This window comes from Homo sapiens, chromosome 15 (assembly GCF_000001405.40).
Source record: "Homo sapiens chromosome 15, GRCh38.p14 Primary Assembly".
Taxonomy (NCBI): domain Eukaryota; kingdom Metazoa; phylum Chordata; class Mammalia; order Primates; family Hominidae; genus Homo; species Homo sapiens.
The window spans coordinates 71094851-71115725 of record NC_000015.10 but is presented as its reverse complement, the minus strand read 5'-3'; the positions used below and the strand labels follow the sequence as shown (position 1 = coordinate 71115725).

Below are 20875 nucleotides of genomic sequence, written 5' to 3'. Positions count from 1 at the left end.
GGACGCGGGGCGCGCGGCTCTGCTCACCTGGCGGTCCGCGTCCCGGAGCGACCGGCGGCCGCCTCGCCTCGCCTCGCCCCCGCGTGGTTCCCGGCGCCGGGCAGCCCCGAGCGCCGCCGCATGGACGGCCGCCACCGCCGCCCAGCCGCCCCGCGCCCGCCCTGCACGGGCTCCCGCTGTGCCCCGATTCCGCGTCGGGCTGCGCGGGCGGCCAGCGGTTCAGGCGCGCGCGGAGAGCTCTGGCTCAGAGTTTGCGATCCGAGAGCGGGATCCGCGCTCCCTCGGTCCTTCCTCCCTCCCCTCTTGCGGCCTCCCGCTGTCATCTGGAGCCGCTCCTGCCGCCCCCTGGCGGCGACCGCGGGAAGGGCCGGCCCCCATCCGCACCCCTGACCCCGGAGGTCAACAACGGGATGGTCCCTGGGTCCCAGGGGAAGAGACATCACCCAGTAGGAGGGAGTACGGTCTAGACAGAGGCCACGAGGGCGGGAGGGGGCGAGAGTGGAGAGTGGCCCAGCTGGCCAGGGTCGTCTAAGTGAGAGGAAAAGGGAGAGGGCGGTTGAGACCAGGCCCTGAATTCCGCGTTCATCTTATCCTGAGGTCTGTGGGGACCTGTTGAAGGACTGGGGCAGGGGACGGACGCGGGCATCCTTCCATTTGGAACAGCCATTCCGGCAGCATCAGGATGGGGCGGAGGCAAAGCGGGGAGTGGGCGAGGCAAGTGGTGCTGTAAACCTGTGCGAGAAGGGGGCGGTGACTCTAAGGGCAGGAAGGAGCCCTGGTCACACACACACTCCCACGCAAGGTAGGACGCGCTGGGCTCCTTCTGAGGCCAAGGGGAAAGGACAAGAGCCCTCCAAATTCCAACGGGGGTTAGACAGCATGGGGAGGAGACACACACACCCTGACGGCCAGAGCCGTTCGGGATTCTTTCTTGTCTTATTCAGAGTAATATTTTGTTGGGGAAAAAAAAGCCTGCTGCAAAAAAATAATAATTCTTCTCATTAGTAATGATAAAAATCAAACTTTGATCCCTTCATTTTACGAATTGGGAAATTATTGCCCCCAAAAGGGCATGACCAAAGTGACGCGTTTAGTTAATGGAGGGAAAATTGCTAGGGCCCCGTTTCTTGAGTCCTAATTCAGAGCCAAATTCTTTACATTCGAGCCAAGGTGTTCAGAGCTGGGAAGGCAGGAAATAGAGTGACTGTGAGGAACTGTCTCTTCTTTCCCCAGAGCAGGGAGGGGGTGACAAATATTTGAAGAGGCTGTCCAGATACAGGCGTTTCCCTAAATTTCAGTCAGCCTGTTTGTTTATCGCTGCCTCTAAAGCTTGCCTGCAGGGGTTGTTTTGAAAGTGCAGGTATACCGAGAGGACAATGAAGGAGGTGGCAGAATGCAAGCTCCCTGCCCCAGAGCCAGGCAGCACCAGGGCTGGGTGCAGAGCGCTTCGTGGGAGCAGAAGGGAGCTCCCAGGGAAGATTGTCCTCCAGAAAAAAAAAAAAATTAACAAAAGGGAAAGAGGCTACTCAAGAGATTAGGCCAAAGAAAGAAACACCATTTTGAGCACCGACTACTGGCCCGGAGCCTGGCAGAGCCAGTTCTGATTGATTCAAGAGCTGGTTCCAATGGGATGAAATAATTCCACACTTGATCAAACAGATTTTGATGGGAGGCACCTGGTGTAAATGGGATTAGATTAATTCTGAGTGTCACGAGTCTCATGGGTCCAAATTAAGTCGATCTAACAGCTCTAGTAAATACTGGCCAGTTTAAACCATTTAGAACTGATTTAAAAAAAAAAACCTGCGCAACTTTAGAATGTACTTAATGTCACTGAATTATACACTTAAAAATGGTTAAAATGGAAATTTTTATGTTATGTACATTTTACCATAATTTTAAAAAAGCAAAACTAATAAGATTTGTTCAAACAAGATTGATTTATTCATTCATTCGAGACAGGTATTCAGTGCCGAGTGTGGCCTTGGTGCTAGGATTCAAAGAGGAAAGGAAGAAAACTTTCCATTCTAAAAGAAACTCCACGTGAGGCGAAGAAGATGAAATATAGTCAGAAAACCATACCAGTAGGTGGTAGGTAAATGCAGAAGTATTTAAGAGCTCATACAGGAGTACCTGCCTCAGGACAGGGAATCTGAGATGCTCTGCAGAGCTGGATCTTAAAGAACGGAGTGAGTTCATCACATAATGTCTGGGGCGAACAGGGCTCAGGAGCAAAGGATGTGGTTTTGTTTGTTATTTTTTAATTTTGAAATAATTTTAGACAAGTTTCACAAATAGTACAAAGAATCCCCTTATATCCCCCACCCTCTTCCTCTAATGTTAACATCCGACATAACCAAAGTATGATTATTAGTGAGCAAACTTGATTCGACAGACCTAGGCTGGCTCCTTAGAAGTGATTCCAGTCCATTTTCAACCTTGGTCAAATTGTTTTGACCATATTTTGCTTATATGTCACAAGAAAGTCTCTTTCTTTAAAGTCAAGATAATACTTGTTTTATTTGTTTATTTATTTTGAGAGAGTGTCTTGCTCTGTCACCCAGGCTGGGGTGCAGTGGCATGATTGCAGCTCACTGCAGGCTCCACCTCCTGGGCTCAAGCAATCCTCTCACTGCGGCCTCCCAGGTAGCTGAGACTACAGGCGTGCGCCACCACATTTGACTAATTTTTTTTTCATTTTTTATTTTTAGTAGAAAGGAGGTATTGCTGTGTTGCCCAGGCTGGTCTCAAACTCCTGAGCTCAAGTGATCCTCCGTTCTTGGCCTCCCAAAGTGCTGAGATTACAGGCGTGAGCCACAGAGACCAGCCTATACTCATTTTAAACAAAGAGATATTTACATTATGTGTAAGCATCAGTGAATATTAAGTATGCTAAGACAGCAAGTTTTAATCTTTCAGTCCTGTTATATTTCTGCTTTTATCCAAATGTGTCTGTCACGTATGAATCAGAAGAGCAGAATGTGGTCCTTGCATATAAAATAGCTTACTGACCCTCACCGAAAGAGAGAGCCAAGAATATGTGCTTCAGATCACAGTCAAAGGCTAGCCTGTGCTTACCTAGGCTGGGGGCCTGCCTGGCATGTCAGTGTCAGCTATACACAGCATCTTGGAGGGTGGGTCACCCCTTTGCATATCTGATGTGGTGAGCTACTCACTACCTCATAAAATAGCCACATTGTTCTTAGAGGCTCTTTGTTAGAAATTCCCTTTTAATTTTGACTTGAAACCTTTTGCCCTGTAATTATTATCCACTGGCCCTAGAGGCAGCTCCTAAAGGGACAGACAAGAAACATAACTCTTCTGTCATGTGTCAGTTCTGTCTATGTAAGACAGCTCTAGCTTACACCTGTTGTCCTATTATAATTATTAATTAATTATTAATAGTACCCCCCTTCATTCTCTTGTCCTAGTTAAGTTGATAAATGATGCATACGACATCCTATAGAAGACTGTCACCACCCCACCTCACTGATCAGCCCTCTGCCTACAGCCACACCCACAGAACATTCAGCCATTTCTCCTGTGGTTCCCAGCCTGCAGCACAGCGTCTGCACGTGGTGAGGGCTCCCAAATCTCTGAGGAATGAATGGCTCACTGCTGAGAGCAACCTTCTGGGAGTTCAGGGCATGTGGAACTGGAATAAGAGCAACGTGTGAACAGATTACAGGAAGGCAATGCAGGACAGCTGGACCCTTTGGGGGGAAACTTATGGGGAACACAGTTTTCTTACTTATAAGCACTGAGATTGCCTGAGAGGGGAGAGATGATGCAGAGTGTCCCAAATGTATTTGACGTGGAATCCTTTTACCAGCGAAACATCTCTTGGGCCTAGAGTTCTGAAAATTGCACTTTGAAAAACACTGCTCTCAGCTCTTACAAACCTCGTGTTTTCATCCTAACTGTGCTTCAGAGAATTGTGTCCCAGCAGGAAAGGAAACCCCCGTATAATTCCCTACGTTGCTAGCATTTGGAAGTGGGATGAAAATGGACCTACATTCAAACCCCTAATTTCAAGCTCTGAAGGAGGTACCAGGATCCATCACGATGCTTGTAAAATTGTTCCTTTCATTTTCCTGGTTGTAAACTTATGCAGACTGTAAAGTCAAGGCAAGCCTGTGCCCAGCAAATAATAAGAAAATAAGGGAGGCATGGTAAACAAAACAAAACACTTTGAGAGTTGGTCAACTTGCTGTTATTTTGAGCTGTTTCTAAAAATCTCAGGGTAGATTCCCTCCCCTGCTTGCCTCCTTAACCCAGTCCTTTTTCTTCCTCCTCCAGGAACTCTGGAATGCTGACCTACAGTCTGAGTTCCTGTGCCCTTGCCTGGGGCTGACTCTCTACTTGACCTGTAACCCACAACTGGGCAAGAGAAAATTCTGCAGCCACAGCTCTGAGGACATGAGCAAAATGGTTTCCAGACGGAATGTCAAGGATTCCCATGAAGTGTCAGGGAGTCTTCAGGCCACACTTCAGGTTATCTCCTTCTCTTTCCCTTTTCTGCTTCACACTTGCTCTCATCCTCTTTCTCACCCCACATCTGGTCAGAGGAGATAGGAAGGTTCTTGTTACCTGGTACAAGACAACTTTTGGAATCCCAGATATTCAGATTATTTCCCCTTTTCCTCTTTGCAAATGATAATACTCACAGCCAAGAGGCATCACCCGGATCCGAGGCTGCTTCTCCTTAGGACATGCAGACAGAAGGAGAAGGCGGGGCTGGCAGCCTCCAGTCCACAGCCTCCCTTTCTTCTTCCGGCGATGATTAACTAGGCCTAGACAATGGAGATCTACGGCATACGCCCAGGGCCTCCTCTTCTCAAGCATGGCTGATCAGTCACTTTCCCGTCTATCCTTCATTTATTGAAGCCAACTATGAACGACTAAAGGAAGGATGAGAAAAGTCACCCAAAGTCAAAGGGGACAGCGTGGGAGACTGTTCTAGACAGAAGGAAACACCTTTGCAAAGACCCTGAGGAAGGCAGGGGACTCTCCAGGAGCAGAAGGGCTGTGTGGCTTCAGAGTCCACAAAAGAGAGCAGATACAGGACACTGGCTAGAGCAGGCCCTGGAGCCCGCTGCTGTCCTGGAGGCCTTGGGGAGGCCCAGTGTTCCCAGGGTGGAAGAAGTAGGGGACAGCTTGACGTAGTGGCTGTTGATCAGCTGATATGGAAGTATGTCATTTTATTAACAATTGAGAAAGGAGTGCTGTGCAATTCCATTCAATGCCAGTGATGCTTATGGCCGTTTTTATGAGTTCTGTCATTTTCAAATGAGCAAGAGGAAGCCTCTAAGGGGGTTTAAGCAGGGACTGACGTAATCAGATCTGTGTTTTTCCAAAGGGAGAGGGAGAAAAAGAACATTTCTTATTTTTCAAAAAAGGTAATGCAAAAGCATCATTCCACAATTCTCTTGTAATGAAAAAAATAAATGCAAACTTAAGCAAATCCATCATTCTGAAAGAATATCCTGCGTCTGCCTTTTCCTTCCTGGGAGACTCTCATAATGAGGTCCTGTCCTTCACCCATTGCTCACACTGCCGCCTGGTACCCCTTGTGACCAGGACTGCAAATCTCCAAGACAACTGGAGCAGGGTGGGAGAGCTCAGCCAGGAAGCAGCTTCTCTGTTTGAGGCTAATCAGCTTACATTGTGCTTGAAATTGCTGTCACCTTGGCCTTGTTGGCAATTTTCCCTCTTCAGCAAACCGGCTTTCTTGTTGAATGAATTAATTTTTATAAAATCTCAGAGATAGGGCATATCCAATGAACACTGGCCAGATATGGCTTATGTATAAAACCAGGGCACTACAAACGACAAAGTCACACGGTCTCCAAGTTCATGGCTTTGCCTTGCCTCACTCACCTTCATCCTGCCTCTCTTCAGCACACAGACCACCTACTATGTGCTAGTTGTAGCGGCTCACCAGACAGTGCTGCCAGAGTGTTCCTGGGTCCCACGTTCCTTTTTTTTTTTTTTCTCTTTTAGTGTTTCCTTTCACCACTCTGTGTGTGATGGTGGACACTTTTGCTTATGAGCAGCAGTTTGGTGTCATAAAAGAAAGCAGTCAGTCCCCCAAACACTACACCGCCATTGCTCTCTGGCCATCCCATCGTAGAAGTCACCAACCTCCAAACTGCAGTCGCCTCCCCTATGGAATGGCAAGAACCTAATTATACCTGTTGGGAGAGAATGGGACGGGCTCACACCAACTTGTATAGCCCCTTCCAGTTCTCAGATCCACGAATCTCTCAGAAACTCTGCAACAGGGAAATTATGTGGCTCGTTTTGGATCCATCTGGGAAAAGATGACATACTCAGAGAAGTATGTGACTTCTTTTTTAAAAATTTCAAGCTGCATTTGGAATAGCTTCTTTTATTCCCTGTAATGCAGAGAATTACCATGCAGCTCTAGTGCCACATCATGGCTTACAGACAAAACTCCCCACGATGTGTCTTGAGTCATGAAGACATTGATAGAGCTGCTGTTTGTTGACTTGGGTAGGATGAGAGAACACCTGAGTGGGTGACCCTGAAATGGCTCCTCTATTCCTCTGGTATTAGGTGTTCATCCAGAAGCTACAGGATCAGTGTTCAGGACCAGCTTCTTCCTAAGTTCATCTTTCTTTATTTAAAAATCTCAGAATTCTAGAGGTGGAAGAGAGTATTTTCTCTTTTTGTTTTTTTGTTTGTTTTTTTGTTTGTTTGTTTGTTTGTTTGAGACGGAGTCTCACTCTGTTGCCCAGGCTGGAGTGCAGTGGTGCGATCTTGGCTCACTGCAACCTCCGCCTCTCACATTCAAGAAATTCTCCTGCCTCAGCCTCCTGAGTAGCTGGGACTACAGGCACATGCCACCACACCCAGCTAATTTTTGTATTTTTTTAGTAGAGATGGGGTTTCACCATGCTGGCCAGGATGGTCTCCATCGCTTGACCTCATGATCTGCCTGCCTCAGCCTCCCAAAGTGCTGGGATTACAGGCGTGAGCTACCACGCCCGGCCCTATTTTCTCTTATTCAGATTAAAAAACAGAGGCCCAGGGGAAAAAATGAGTTGCAGACATTCACACCGTGAGAATGTGGTCAATCAGAAATAGGAACCCATCTGGTGGGCCTTGAGCTATTCCAGTGAGCCCCCTCCCCATTGTCCTGTCCCTTGGAAGTCCATGGGTGGAGAAAACCAGGGGCTTCAGGCTGTCAGAAATAGCCATGGAAACTACTTAGGACATCTTGAATTCCAAATATCATACATGTTAAAGCTAAGGATCTTCCCGGCTCAAAGCATATTTAATCTAATCAGGTTATTATTTTTCTTCTTTGGAGTTAAGAAGAAGCCTTGTGGGTTTTCCCTCATGGGCTTGTCCCAAAGCTTAGCCCAGCAATGTGGACCCCAGTCTCTGCTACTATTCATGCCGCTTTCCAGAACTCAGCCTCTTGCCAGAATTCATCTTCTATGAACCTTGGGTTTGTTCAGGAACAGTTTTGAGGCCTGAGAAGCATTTCTTCCATAGCACTGGGACAGCTCCCACCTCCAGGCCCCAGCAGCCTGAGCCCTACAGTGGCCACCTCATCTCAATGTCTCCATTGTAAAGAGCTGCACCTATCCTTGTATCTGCCAGCAAGCAGGCCACATGGAGGTGGAAGACATCAGAGGAGGCAGAGGAGCCCTGCATTGGCTGCATGCTTTGGGCGCAGGTTTCCTAGGAGGAGAGATGGAAGGTTGCAGAGTGGAATGGACAGAAAACGAAGCAGTGATTCAGGAAAAAATAATAGCAGCTGGTTTTCATCTGGGTACTAGCCTTATGACCTTGAGCAGTGGCTTAACCCTGCTGAGCCTCAGTTTCCTCATCTGCAGAGCAGGCTTGACACTCACTAACTGCTGAATTCTCTCAAGGGGGAAAATGGGGAGAAAACACTCTCATGTCCTGTGCCTTCCCCATTAGCATCCTCAGTCTGAGAGAAGTTGGTCTGTTCTTGGTCCGTCCCTTTTTTCTGGCTAGCTATATTGCCATTCTTCCGTTGTCACGGGAACATTCCAAAGGATGAATGAAGGGTATGGGATCAAGCAGAGGCAAACATGAGCAAGAACAAGCGTGTAGATTAAGATACAAACTTCTCCTGACCCAGTCCTGTGAGTGGAAAATACCACACAATGGGAAAGAAACCAAATCACCCTGACATGCAATCAGATATTGTGGTGTAGGTCAAAGGGTGGGCCAAAAGGCTTGGTTTCTTTTTCTTTCCTTTCTTTTCTTTTTCCTTTTCTTCTCTTCTTTTTTTCTTTTGCTTTCTTTCTTTTCTTTTGCTTTCTTTCTTTCTTTTCTTTTTCTCCTTCCTTCCTTCTCTCTTTCCTTCTTTCTTTCTTTTCTTTCCTTCTTTCCTTCCTTCTAAAAACAGGTAATTGCAAAAGGAAAGAAAACAGGAACACATTGTTTCTTTTTGATTGATTAAGTTAATTGCACATGTCAAACTTTTTACTTGTCAGCATCTGAAGTTTCCTTGAAGCTAATAAGAACTTTCTTCTGGATAACGGTTTCATGAAGACAGCACATCAGGTTGTGAAAGGCACATTGGTTTTAGAGTTAAACAAATGTGCACTTGGAGCCTTGCTGTGCTAACTTCCTGACTGTGTGACTTGGAAAAGTGACTTACTAGTCTGAGTTTTTCAACTGTCATGTGGCTATAATGATTTTAGAGGGCATGGTTGTGGTAATCATGACTCAAGTTCACCAATTCGCCTTCAGGGACGAGATTTCACTTCCCCTCCCTTTGAAGTTAAATGTGGCCAGGTGACTTGCTGTGGCAAATGGAATGTGACTTCTCTTTTTAAATTTTTTTTTTTTTTAAAGCTGGTAGCTGCTTTAAGACTCAATGTACAAATCATCGTGTTCCTTCCCACTGGTGCTAGGGTTGTGGAATCCTTGGTTAGCCTGGGTCTCAGAGGACTGTGATCTGTAAGCACCCCCACCATTCTTTGAATGTACAGCATCAAATCTCCCACTGAGATTTGAGTTTGTTACTGCAGCAAAACCTAGCATACCATGACTGATATAATGGTTGATACAATAAAGTATGATGACATTTGTAAATACAACTTGGCAATGGTAAAGTGATCAGAAAGCCTTGTTATTTTAGTGTTCAGAGGTAATTGTGCTGATTAGTAGGCCCAAGTTAAGGGATAAATTCCTGCATGGGTCAGGCAGGCTGCAACTTTACCCCAGATCATTTTTCTCCACCAGGGGCCAGAATCAGGAAAATCTGAAAAAACTCCCCCAACAGATCTGCCATGGTACCCAAATACCAGTTCTGCCTTTGAGATAAAGGCCAATCTGTGTACTGAAGGTGGGAGCTTAGGGAAAGTCATCAGGCTCTGGGAGTGGAGAATACTCAGGAATGGTGGGGAGGCACAGTAGTGGGAGTGGTCTTGAAGAGCAGCTGTGTAGAACTGAGGCCTGCGTCACAGTGGGAAGTCCTTGCAATTTGAAGGTTAAGCACACTGTGCACGAGATCCCTGGCCCTCTTCTCTCACCATGATACACACCCTGTCCTCCCATAATAATTTTCTCCTGTAGACCTTCCACAATAATTTATTCCAAGTCATTCTTTATGCCACCTAAGTCTGGCCTTTGACCCTCACCTCCAGGCTCCCATTTCCCGGATATTTTGGCAGGTGCTTCAAGTGCAATGTGTTATGGATAGAACATATCACTTCCTGTCCCACCCCCCAAACCCTCTTTCCTATTCCATACTCCATATCTGGATGAGGAGCTATCATCTTCCCAATCATTCAAGCTCAACATCTCAAGAGGGCTCATGGCCCTGGAATGCTCTTTTTTTCTCTATTAATATAAGAGGGGAAAATGCAAGCCAGAAAAACAATTGAAGGCATTGTGCAGGCCAGGTGAGGTTGTGGTTCAATCTTGGTGTGAATTTGTTCCTTTGAGAATTCGTCTTTGGGTGGAATGCCTCTAATTGTGGACTCAGAAAATAGGATGAAATGTAGAGGAAAAGAAAATAGGATAGTGTAGTGTGATAAGAAGTATATTTGGTCTTTGTCCGTGGTCCTGGCACAGAGAATCTAAAACCCTTGGAATTTCCTCAGTCATGAGGTGTCCTTTCTTATTCTTAAGGAGCCTCTTTGGAGCACACCTGAGTTTATGCTAATGAGGTAATTTAGGGTAGGACCCCAGATAGCCTCAGGATGGGACTCAACACCAGAAAAACTAAGGGATTAGAAGGTTGAAACTTTCAGCCCTACCCACTGACCTCCAGGAATGGGATGGGAGGAAATTAAATTCTATGAAAACTCTGGGAGAGAGGGGTACCCCAATTCTACAGGGACAAAAGCTCCTATGCTTTGGACCCTTCTAGACCTCACCTAAGTCTTCATCTGTATCCTTTATAATAAACGAGTAAATGGCCTGAGTTCTGTGAGCTATCCCAGCAAAGTATTGCTGAGAAGGTGGGTAGGGGAAACCCCAATTTGCAGCTGGTTGGTCAAAAGTACTAGAGACCTGGCCTGGTGATTGACATCTGAAGTAGAGGCTGAAAACTAAAAATAAAATCCTAAGCCCCTCAACAGCTGAACAGACCCCCTCTTGGCTAAGGGGACCCTAGAAAATCCTTAAAAATGGAATTCCCAGCATGACACAAAGGGAGGTGATATATCCCCACCCTTTTGGAGTTTAGGCACAACTGACCACCATTAATATTAAAATACAGACCATAAGACTAACAAAACAGACTCCTTGTGACAATAAGATATCAAATTATAAAGAGGACATAAGGCCGTGCCGGACAAGGGCTAAGTCACTCAGCCCTACGGGTCACTCTGACCTCGAATATTGGTTCACATACTTCCTTATCTTAACTTAAAACTTTCTTTTCTGTTGACTCCAAATTTTTACACAAAGCTCTACTCCTTTAACCAATTGCAAATTAAAGAATCTCTGAATCCGCCTATAACCTGTAAACTCCCACTTCAAGATATCACACCTTTTCGGGCCGAACCAGTGTATACCTTCCATGTGTGAATTTATGTCTTTGCCTATAACTCCTGCCTCCCTAAAATTTATACAACCAAACTGTAATCTGACTGCCACAGACACACTTTCTCAGGACCTATTGAGACTGTGTTCTCTAGGCCATGGTCACTCATATTGGCTCAGAAGAAACCTCTTTAAAATATTTTCAGAGTTTGGTTTTTCCATTAACAGGGCAATCTTGTGAGACTGAGAACTAACCCTGTGGGATCTGATGCTTAGCTCCAGGTAGACAGTGTCAAAATCGAATTAAATCGTAGGGCATGCAGCTGATGGGAGCAGAATTGGAGAACTTCTTGGGATGGAGAAAAAGCCCCACACATTTGCTGTCAGAAGTATTGTGTGAGCGAAGAGAAACAGTCTGTTTTCTCCAGATGGATTGCCTAATTCTTTCCGGCCATATAATAAAGAGTTATTGCTGGTCAATAAGTTTTGTTTTTTATGAAACTTTGCAGGGGCCGGGGGTGGGGGAGACAATAAATGCCATACATATAAACAAAGATATCATTTCCCACATAGCAAATGATTGATGATTTAAAAAGCAAAAAGAGAGCCTTATTCCAGAAAAGATGGAATAAGTAAGGACACACTAAATGTAACTATAAATCCTGGACAGAATGGATGGAGGAGCTATCTGAGAGTTCTGAAACATAAATCATAGCAGGTGGCTTTGGGAAGAAGACCAGAATTCAAAGTCCCACTAAATCAGTAGTGAATTTTTTTCCCTCCCAGTATCAGCCAGCCTAGACTAAAAGGCAGCCATAAAGCTGGAAGTGTGCACCAGAGGAAGACAGAAAGAGCTGCAAGAGAAGTCCTCTCTAAAACACAAGAAAGGAGATTCTGAAGAGTCAGAGAGAGAGTGGGGTGCAGGGGAACTCCTGGTGTTTTTTTTTTTCCTTCTTTCCAGCCTCAGCCCACAGGCAATATTGTAGCAGCAGTGGTGGTGGCAGAGGCTGAGGGGGTGGGAGTGGAGCTAGGCAGTCATCTAAGATTCCAAGAGAGGGGAATTATTCTGTTTGACTGGAGGAGCAGTGTTCACAAGAGTGTGTGGCAAATCTTTCTTCCTTTTTTTTTCACCTTTCTCCTCCTGCCACTTGACTCCAAACACAGAAACAGTCATGGTAAGTGTGGCAGAGCAGAGAAACTGAAGCCCAAGCTTGCTCACTGGAGGGCTGAAAAGGGAGGCCCCAAGGAGCCAGAGGGTGTTGGGGAGATCACGGAGAGTAGGGAGCTTAAGTCAGAAATCCCACAAACTTATGTTTTAGCTCCTGGGCTCACCTCCAGGCTACACATGTATGGATCTGATCCTAAACACCATACCACATGTTTGGAGAACTGAAACTGCAAGGTAGACCCCAGTCCAGGCCCATGATTGGCCACTGGGTGGCACACACACAGGACTGATCTGAATAGCACTGCACTCTGAAATCAGAAATGATATTGAAACCACAGCCCAAGAGGCAGGTTTGGACTCGCAAAAATAATATAATCTGTTTCATTTCCTGCTTCAAAAAAAAAAAAAAGCCTTCTTTTTAGGATTTAAGTCAGACCTGGGGTCCTGTAATATTCAAAATGTCTAGGATATAATCCCAAATTACTCAGCATATGAAGAACCATGAAAGTCTCAACTGACAAGGAACGAGACAATCAACAGACACTAACCCTGAGAAGATACAGATGTTAGAATTACCAAACATTTTTTAAAGCAGCAATTATAACCATGTTCCATAAAGTAAGGGAAAGTGCTCCTGAAACAAATGGAAATACCGAAATTCTCAGGGGGGAAAAAAGAAGATATAAAAACAGGCCTAGTGGAGTGGCTCACACCTGTAATCCCAGCACTTTGGGAGGCCAAGGCAAGTGGATCACCTGAGATCAGGAGTTCGAGATCAGCCTTGGCAACATAGTGAAACCCTGTTTCCACTAAAAATACAAAAAATTAGCTGGGCATGGTGGCAGGCATCTGTAATCCCAGCTATTCAGGAGGCTGAGGCAGAAGAATCTCTTAAATCCGGGAGGTGGAGGTTGCAGTGAGCCAAGATCACACCATTGTACTCCAGCCTGGGCAACAAAAGCAAAACTGTCTCAAAATTTAAAAAAAAGGAAGATATAAAAACAAACCAAATGGAAATATTAGAACAGAAAAAGAGAAGGACACTAACTTAAATTTCAGATTAACTGGATGAAAAATTAACTTAAAGATAGATCAATAGAAATTATCTAATCTGAACAACAAAGGAAAGAAAATTGAAAAAGAAACCCAGCAGAACCTTAGGGGCCTGTGGGAAAAAATACCAAAAAGTTTAATATTTGTGTCATTACACTCCTAGAAGGAAAAGAAAAAGGATGTTGAATGGGAAAAAAATATTTTAAGAAATAATGGTGGAAAAACATCACATTTCACAAAAGACATGAACATGGAAATTGAAGAAACTCAGTGAATCCCAAACAGGATAAAATCAAAGACATCCACACATTATAATCAAACTTATGAAAACTATTAAAATAAAGAAAATATCCTGAAAGCAATCAAAGATAAATGACTCATTTCAGGTAGAGAAACAATTATTTAAATGACTGTGCATTTCTCATCAGAAACCATGGAAGCTGGAGGGAAGTAGAATAACATTTTTAACATACAGAAAGAAAAGAATTATCGGCCCTCCACAGTGGCTCATGCCTGTAATCCCAGCACTTTGGGCGGCCAAGGGGGCGGATCACCTGAGCTCAGGAGTTCAAGACCACCCTGGGCAACATGGTGAAACCCCGTCTCTACGAAAATACAAAAAATTAGCCAGTCGTGGTGGCATGCACCCGTAGTCCCAGCTACTCAGGAGGCTGAGGCACGAGAATCGCTTGAGCCTGGGAGATGGAGGTTGCAGTGAGCTGAGATCATGCCACTGCACTCTAGTCTGGGCTACAGAGTGAGACTCTGTCTCAAAAAAAAAAAATAAAAAAGAAAAGAAAACTACCAATCCAGAATCTTATATCCAGTGGAAATATCGTTCATGAATGACAATGAAATAAGGACATTCTCAGATAAAGTAAGAAAATTCCTTGATACCAGACTTGTTCCATAAGAAATGCTAAGGAGAATTCTTCAGACTACAAGGAAATTAAATCGAGGGAAACTTTAACAATAGTAATGAAATAAGAGCAACTGAAATGGTAGATACCTGGAAAAATATAATAGATTTTAAGTTCTTTGAAATATGTGAAAGCACAAATTGTAACATTGACTGATGGAATTTTCAATGTATGTAGTCATCATAATACATAATACTATGATGACTACGTAAACAGGGGATGCCAAAGGTACCTATATGGTGAGAAGATCTAATATTTATATCATTTATGTGTTTATACCATTTAAATTTAATGCAAGAATTGAGTACTCCTCTTGAAATTATAAAATATAATAGTAATATAATAGCAGACCATATACTGTAATCTCTAGAACAGCTACTAAAATTTTTTTCCCAGAGATATAGTAAAAATATCAATAGAAAATTAAAATAGAAGACAAAGATATTCAAATATTTCAGAAGAAAGTAGGAAAGGGAAAATGAAAATCAGAAGAAACAAACATAAAATATGTGATAAAATGGTGATCTAAGTACAAACATATCAATTTTATTTTATTTTATTTTATTTTTTATTTTACTTTTTATTTTTATTTATTTTTTTGTGTGACAGCGTCTCACTGTGTCACCCAGGATGAAGGGCAGTGGTGTGATCATGGCTCACTGCAACCTTAACCTCCCAGGCTCCGGTGATTCTCCAACCTCAGCCTCCAGAGTAGCTGAGACCACAGGTGTGCAGGCCACCATGCCTGGCTATTTTTGTATTTTTTTGTAGAGACAGGGTTTTGCCATGTGGCCCAGGCTGGTCTCAAACTCCTGGGCTCAAGTGATCCATCTACCTTAGCCTCCCAAAGTGCTGGAATTACAGTCATGAGCCACTGCACCCAGCCCTCAATTCTTACATTAAATTTAAATGGTATAAACACATAAATGATATAAATATTAGATATCTGTTTCTATGTAACAAATTATCACAAACTTAGCTCAAAAGAACATATGTTTATTATCTCAGTTTCTGTGGGTCAGGAATGCAGGCATGGCTAAACTAGGTCCTCTGCCCCAGGGTCTTTCATGTACCTACAACCAAGGTGTTGGCCAGGGCTGAGGTCACATTTGAAGGCTTTACTGGGGAAAAATCTGATTCTAAGCTTGCAAGCACAGTTGTTCAGACAATTTCATTTCTTTTGGGCTGTTGGATTGAAGGCCTCAGTTTCTTGCCATGTGAGCCTCCCCAACATGGCAACTTACTTCATCAAAGCCAGGAAGAGAGTGAGTCTATGGAGAAAAACTGCTAGCAAGACAGAAGTTACAATCTTAGATAGCACAATCACAAAAGTGACATTCCATCACCTTACCATATTCTATTGGTTGGAAACAACTCACAGGACCTCTCCAAACCTGTTCATACTTAAGGAGTGGAGATTAAACAACAATATAAATCCAAGAGGTAGGACTCAATAGAGGCCATTTTGGAGTCTGTCCAACAGACCTACCAGTTAAAAGACAGAGACTGAATGAATTCAAAGCAAACAAACAAAGAAAACTAAGAAACAACTACATACTGCCTAAGAGAAACTCACTTTATTATGTTTTAATTTTTTGAGACAGTATCTCAATTCAAAACAAACAAACAAAGAAAACTGTCACCCAGGCCGGATGACTGTATGTGGCACAATCACAGCTCACTGCAACCCTGACTTCCTGGGCTCAGGTGATTCTTCCACCTCTGCCTCCCAATGGAACCACAGGTGTGTGCCACCACGACCGGCTAATTTTTGTATTTTTTGTAGGGAAGGGGTTTCACCATGTTGTCCAGGCTGGTCTCAAATCCCTGGGTTCAAGCGATCTGCCCCCCTTGGCCTCCCAAAGTGCTGGGGTTGCAGGTGTGAGCCACCATGCCCAGCAAAATCCACTTTAAATATAATAATATATTTATGATCAGAATAAAAATTAAAATATGGAAAGAAAGCTAAACCATATAATCACTAATCAAAAGAAACCTGGAATATAATTTTATTATTAAAATCAACTTTAGAACAAGGAAAATTACCAAGGATAAAGAGGACACATTGCATAATAATCAAAAGAGCCAATTCACTGTGAAAACATAGCAATCCTAAATGTATGTATACCTAACAATAGAATTTCAGAATACAAAATCCAAAAACTGATAGAACTGAATGGAGAAATGACAAGCCCATAAAGTTGAAGACATCAAAGCTCTCCCCTCAGTAACTGATAGTATAAGTAGACAGAAAATCAGCAAAGACATTGAAGAACTGAGCAACACCACCAACTAATTGATTCTAATGGACATTTACAGGTCCACCCAGTGGCAGAATACACATTTCTTTCAAGTGTACATGGAACATTTTGGGCATCTGATGCACAATACAACTCTTCCCCAGACCACCAGGAGGCAAGGTCTGTGGCCAGAGAAATATAAAAGTGGTGGTCATGGGGTGGAGTAGGAGGCATTTTCTTACTTCACCCTCTAACCCATCCCTGACTCTCTTAAAGGTCGCTGTGAGACCTTGGTGAGTGCAAACTGAAATGAAAAGGTAGTTCTCATTGTAATCCAATTGCAACCAGTTTAAACAATTGAGAACAAATTTTATTTGCATACAAGTATTCAAGCAAGTTTGATTGGATCAGACCTGGATTTTAGGCTTGCAGGTGTCTGATTTTGAAACACAAAATCCAATATTTTCTGCCTGGGAAATATATATATTTTTAATGTAGTTAATATAAATTACCTTTCTACTTCAGTTTGACTATTAATTGCATTGTAACTTAACTTGTATTCTTATTGAGTCTCTACATGTTTTCTTCCACTTCTGCACTAGTTTACCATTTGGATGAGTATATTATATATCAGTCCAGGTGTCTCCCAGGCAGTCAACATAATTCTGCATTCATTTTCGCACTGCCCATCAGCCAGGAAGTTGCAACTAAGTAAAAATGATGAATGTCCCTATACCCAATGATGATCTAGTTCATAAATTTTTTAAATAAAAAATGTGGGGCCAGGTGCAGTGGCTCAAACCTGTAATCATAGCACTCTGGGAGGCCAAGGCAGGCCAATCGCTTGAGCCCAGCAATTTAAGACCAGCCTGGACAATATGGCAAAATCCTGTCTCTACAAAAATACACAAATTATGAAATCATGTCTCTACAAAAATACAAAAATTACAAAATCCCATCTCTACAAAAATACAAAAAACCTAGCTGGGTGGTGGTGGCACGGGCCTATAGTCCCAGCTACTCGAGAGGCTGAGGTGGGAAGATCACCTGAGCCCAGGAAGATGAGGTTGCAGTGAGCCATGATCATGGCACTCTAGCCTGGGTGACAGAGCGGGACCTTCTCTCCCCCCAAAAAAAAAAAAAAAAAAAAAAAAGTGAAAGAATTTTTATTGGAAAGTTATATTCAGGTTATAGAAGAACTGTTCCGCAGCTCACATAGTCAACATATTTACTATAAAAGCAGCACTGCCTTGGGACACAGTGTGCTCACAGATCTGGAGAAACAATTTCTCTTTGAAAATGTGTCCTATTGTGGGTCTGGCTCCTATGAAGTAATGCAAGTGTATTGTCCCTGTGAAAAAAGATGTTTCCCCAAAAACATCACTGCGAGAAGGTCAGCACTGGGCATGAAGTTTATTCCCACAGAGGGACGCTCATACCTAGATAATTGGGGGAAAATTTTTTTGGCAAAAAACTTGCCTCAGTTTCATTAAAACACACGACAGTGATCAGTGTAAGAAATAATTTTAGTGTCAAGAGTAATCTATAGAGCAATGAACATTACAGATTGTGTGATGAATCAGGAAAGAGTTTGCTTTGGACTTAAAAAAAAAAATATATATATATATATATATACATCTTTCTGTGACCTATGAAAGCAAAATGTAAATTATAAGATATAACGTATAACAACATCTGTAACCTATCTGTCTCTTTTTTCCCCCTCAATAAAGAGGCTTCTTTGTTGTCTCATTTGGTTGTTGTTGTTTTTTTTTTTCGAGACAGAGTCTTGCTTTGTCACTCAGGCTGGAGTGCAGAGGTGCTATCTTGGCTGACGGCAACCTTGACCTCGTAGGCTCAAGCAATCCACTAACCTTAGCCTCCGGAGTAGCTGGGACCACAGGCATACGCCACCACTGTCTGGCTAATTTTTGTATTTTTTGTAGAGACGGGGTTTCACCATGTTGCTCAGGCTGGTTGCGAACTCCTGTGCTCAAGCAATCCACCCGTCTCAGCCTCCCAAAGTGCTGGTATTACAGGCGTCAACCACCGTGCCCAGCCTTTCACCTCAATAAATAGTTAATAACATATTTTTGAAGCTATTTAGCAATGCTGCCAGGTTGATCTGGTTTAAACTATTCAAAGCTGGTTGAATAGTTTCAATAACTTTTCCCAAACAAAGGAAAAGCTATTGAAATCAGAGCTGATTTGATCCAGTTTGAATCAGCCTATTTTGACAAATGTGACTTTAAACCATTTTAATTTCATTAGGATCTGTTTGCTCTACTAAGAATCACTTTACACTGTTTTCCCCTAATATAAAGCAATATCACTTGCCTGAATCCAGTTTCCTCTTTCTGAACTGCTGTGATTCAATTCACGTTGGTCTGATCCAGTAAGGACAAGTTAGATGCAGGCTTATCTGGTCTCGATCAGCAGGAACTGCTTGGAATCTGATGTGTCAGTTTGGGACTGTTTTATCCTGTTTGAGCTGGCTTTACCCAATATGACCCAGGAAGGTTGGCTTGACCTGATTAGAATCAATGTAAGCAGGTTTTAACCAACTTGGAATCAGTTTGCTTCTTAAAAAACCAGTTGGCTTTCCTTAGAAATATGATGTTCGGAATGGCTTAGCTCATCTGAGCCTATTGTGAACCACACTGAGTGAGGTTACAGCAGCTCTTCCATCTAGTCTGAAACACAAAAATGTGGAAATGCTAGAAGGCCAGATTACAACAGGGTTAGAGTATAAAGGAGGTGGGAGAAAATGAAAGGTATTGCATTTATACTCATCTAGATACAGGTTGAGAGAGAAACTCAGGGTCAAGAGATGATTTTTTGTTGGTTTGTTTTTAAATATGGAGAAAAGTCCCCAGAGAGGTAGGAGGGCACAGACTAGAGGGACTGGGTTGGAAACCAAGCAGGATCAAATGTATATTGTAATTACCTTAGGGGATTATATTGAAATGGTAATGGTTAGTGCTAATATAAAAGAAAATTTTTTTTTTTGCCATTTTTTTTATTATACTTTAAGTTTTAGGGTACATGTGCACATTGTGCAGGTTAGTTACATATGTATACATGTGCCATGCTGGTGCGCTGCACCCACTAACTCGTCATCTAGCATTAGGTATATCTCCCAATGCTATCCCTCCCCCCTCCCTCCACCCCACAACAGTCCCCAGAGCGTGATATTCCCCTTCCTGTGACCATGTGATCTCATTGTTCAATTCCCACCTATGAGTGAGAATATGCGGTGTTTGGTTTTTTGTTCTTGCAATAGTTTACTGAGAATGATGATTTCCAATTTCATCCATGTCCCTACAAAGGACATGAACTCATCATTTTTTATGGCTGCATAGTATTCCATGGTGTATATGTGCCACATTTTCTTAATCCAGTCTATCATTGTTGGACATTTGGGTTGGTTCCAAGTCTTTGCTATTGTGAATAATGCCGCAATAAACATACGTGTGCATGTGTCTTTATAGCAGCATGATTTATAGTCCTTTGGGTATATACCCATTAATGGGATGGCTGGGTCAAATGGTATTTCCAGTTCCAGATCCCTGAGGAATCGCCACACTGACTTCCACAATGGTTGAACTAGTTTACAGTCCCACCAACAGTGTAAAAGTGTTCCTATTTCTCCACATCCTCTCCAGCACCTGTTGTTTCCTGACTTTTTAATGATTGCCATTCTAACTGGTGTGAGATGGTATCTCATTGTGGTTTTGATTTGCATTTCTCTGATGGCCAGTGATGATGAGCATTTTTTCATGTGTTTTTTGGCTGCATAAATGTCTTCTTTTGAGAAGTGTCTGTTCATGTCCTTCACCCACTTTTTGATGGGGTTGTTTGTTTTTTTCTTGTAAATTTGTTTGAGTTCATTGTAGATTCTGGATATTAGCCCTTTGTCCGATGAGTAGGTTGCGAAAATTTTCTCCCATTTTGTAGGTTGCCTGTTCACTCTGATGGTAGTTTCTTTTGCTGTGCAGAAGCTCTTTAGTTTAATTAGATCCCATTTGTCAATTTTGGCTTTTGTTGCCATTGCTTTTGGTGTTTTAGACATGAAGTCCTTGCCCATGCCTATGTCCTGAATGGTAATGCCTAGGTTTTCTTCTAGGGTTTTTATGATGTTAGGTCTAACGTTTAAGTCCTTAATCCATCTTGAATTGATTTTTGTATAAGGTGTAAGGAAGGGATCCAGTTTCAGCTTTCTACATATGGCTAGCCAGTTTTCCCAGCACCATTTATTAAATAGGGAATCCTTTCCCCATTGCTTGTTTTTCTCAGGTTTGTCAAAGATCAGATAGTTGTAGATATGCGGCATTATTTCTGAGGGCTCTGTTCTGTTCCATTGATCTATATCTCTGTTTTGGTACCAGTACCATGCTGTTTTGGTGACTGTAGCCTTGTAGTATAGTTTGAAGTCAGGTAGTGTGATGCCTCCAGCTTTGTTCTTCTGGCTTAGGATTGACTTGGCGATGTGG

General features: G+C 43.1%; 1 protein-coding gene and 1 long non-coding RNA gene across 4 annotated transcripts in view, besides 8 other annotated features; one reads left to right on the top strand and one right to left on the bottom strand.

Moving 5' to 3' along the window:
- Positions 1-18832, bottom strand: part of THSD4 (thrombospondin type 1 domain containing 4) — a 686490-nt gene extending 667658 nt beyond the window's left edge. Inside the window, exon 1 of one of the 2 annotated variants that reach the window (NM_001394532.1) lies at positions 18720-18832. The gene's annotated coding sequence lies outside the window, so the exon portion shown is untranslated. Of the gene's footprint in view, positions 1-27; positions 256-18719 lie in introns of those variants that run through there. The other variant, NM_024817.3, reaches the window with a different exon arrangement.
- Positions 102-241: a silencer, noted in NCBI's record as "silent region_6612". NCBI's record gives its function as "represses an Ori minimal core promoter by ATAC-STARR-seq in GM12878 lymphoblastoid cells {active_cell/tissue: GM12878}" and the evidence as "EXISTENCE:reporter gene assay evidence [ECO:0000049][PMID:35858748]".
- Positions 102-355: a biological region, named in NCBI's record as "ReSE screen-validated silencer GRCh37_chr15:71407710-71407887".
- Positions 178-355: a silencer, noted in NCBI's record as "fragment chr15:71407710-71407887 (GRCh37/hg19 assembly coordinates)". NCBI's record gives its function as "represses an EF-1alpha promoter that drives an FKBP-Casp9 reporter gene in an ReSE screen in K562 erythroleukemia cells {active_cell/tissue: K562}" and the evidence as "EXISTENCE:reporter gene assay evidence [ECO:0000049][PMID:32094911]".
- CT62 (cancer/testis associated 62) lies at positions 222-5482 on the top strand. Of its 2 annotated transcripts, none has more exons than NR_168259.1 (4): positions 222-597; positions 1963-2091; positions 3432-3578; positions 4300-5482. It is a non-coding gene; the product is annotated as a cancer/testis associated 62 (long non-coding RNA). The 2 variants fall into 2 exon arrangements; NR_168260.1 differs by having other exon boundaries at positions 222-802; positions 1963-2095.
- Positions 272-331: a silencer, noted in NCBI's record as "silent region_6611". NCBI's record gives its function as "represses an Ori minimal core promoter by ATAC-STARR-seq in GM12878 lymphoblastoid cells {active_cell/tissue: GM12878}" and the evidence as "EXISTENCE:reporter gene assay evidence [ECO:0000049][PMID:35858748]".
- Positions 392-441: a silencer, noted in NCBI's record as "silent region_6610". NCBI's record gives its function as "represses an Ori minimal core promoter by ATAC-STARR-seq in GM12878 lymphoblastoid cells {active_cell/tissue: GM12878}" and the evidence as "EXISTENCE:reporter gene assay evidence [ECO:0000049][PMID:35858748]".
- Positions 12053-12162: an enhancer, noted in NCBI's record as "active region_9704". NCBI's record gives its function as "activates an Ori minimal core promoter by ATAC-STARR-seq in GM12878 lymphoblastoid cells {active_cell/tissue: GM12878}" and the evidence as "EXISTENCE:reporter gene assay evidence [ECO:0000049][PMID:35858748]".
- Positions 12303-12352: an enhancer, noted in NCBI's record as "active region_9703". NCBI's record gives its function as "activates an Ori minimal core promoter by ATAC-STARR-seq in GM12878 lymphoblastoid cells {active_cell/tissue: GM12878}" and the evidence as "EXISTENCE:reporter gene assay evidence [ECO:0000049][PMID:35858748]".
- Positions 12523-12592: an enhancer, noted in NCBI's record as "active region_9702". NCBI's record gives its function as "activates an Ori minimal core promoter by ATAC-STARR-seq in GM12878 lymphoblastoid cells {active_cell/tissue: GM12878}" and the evidence as "EXISTENCE:reporter gene assay evidence [ECO:0000049][PMID:35858748]".
- Positions 18833-20875: the final 2043 nt, after the last annotated feature.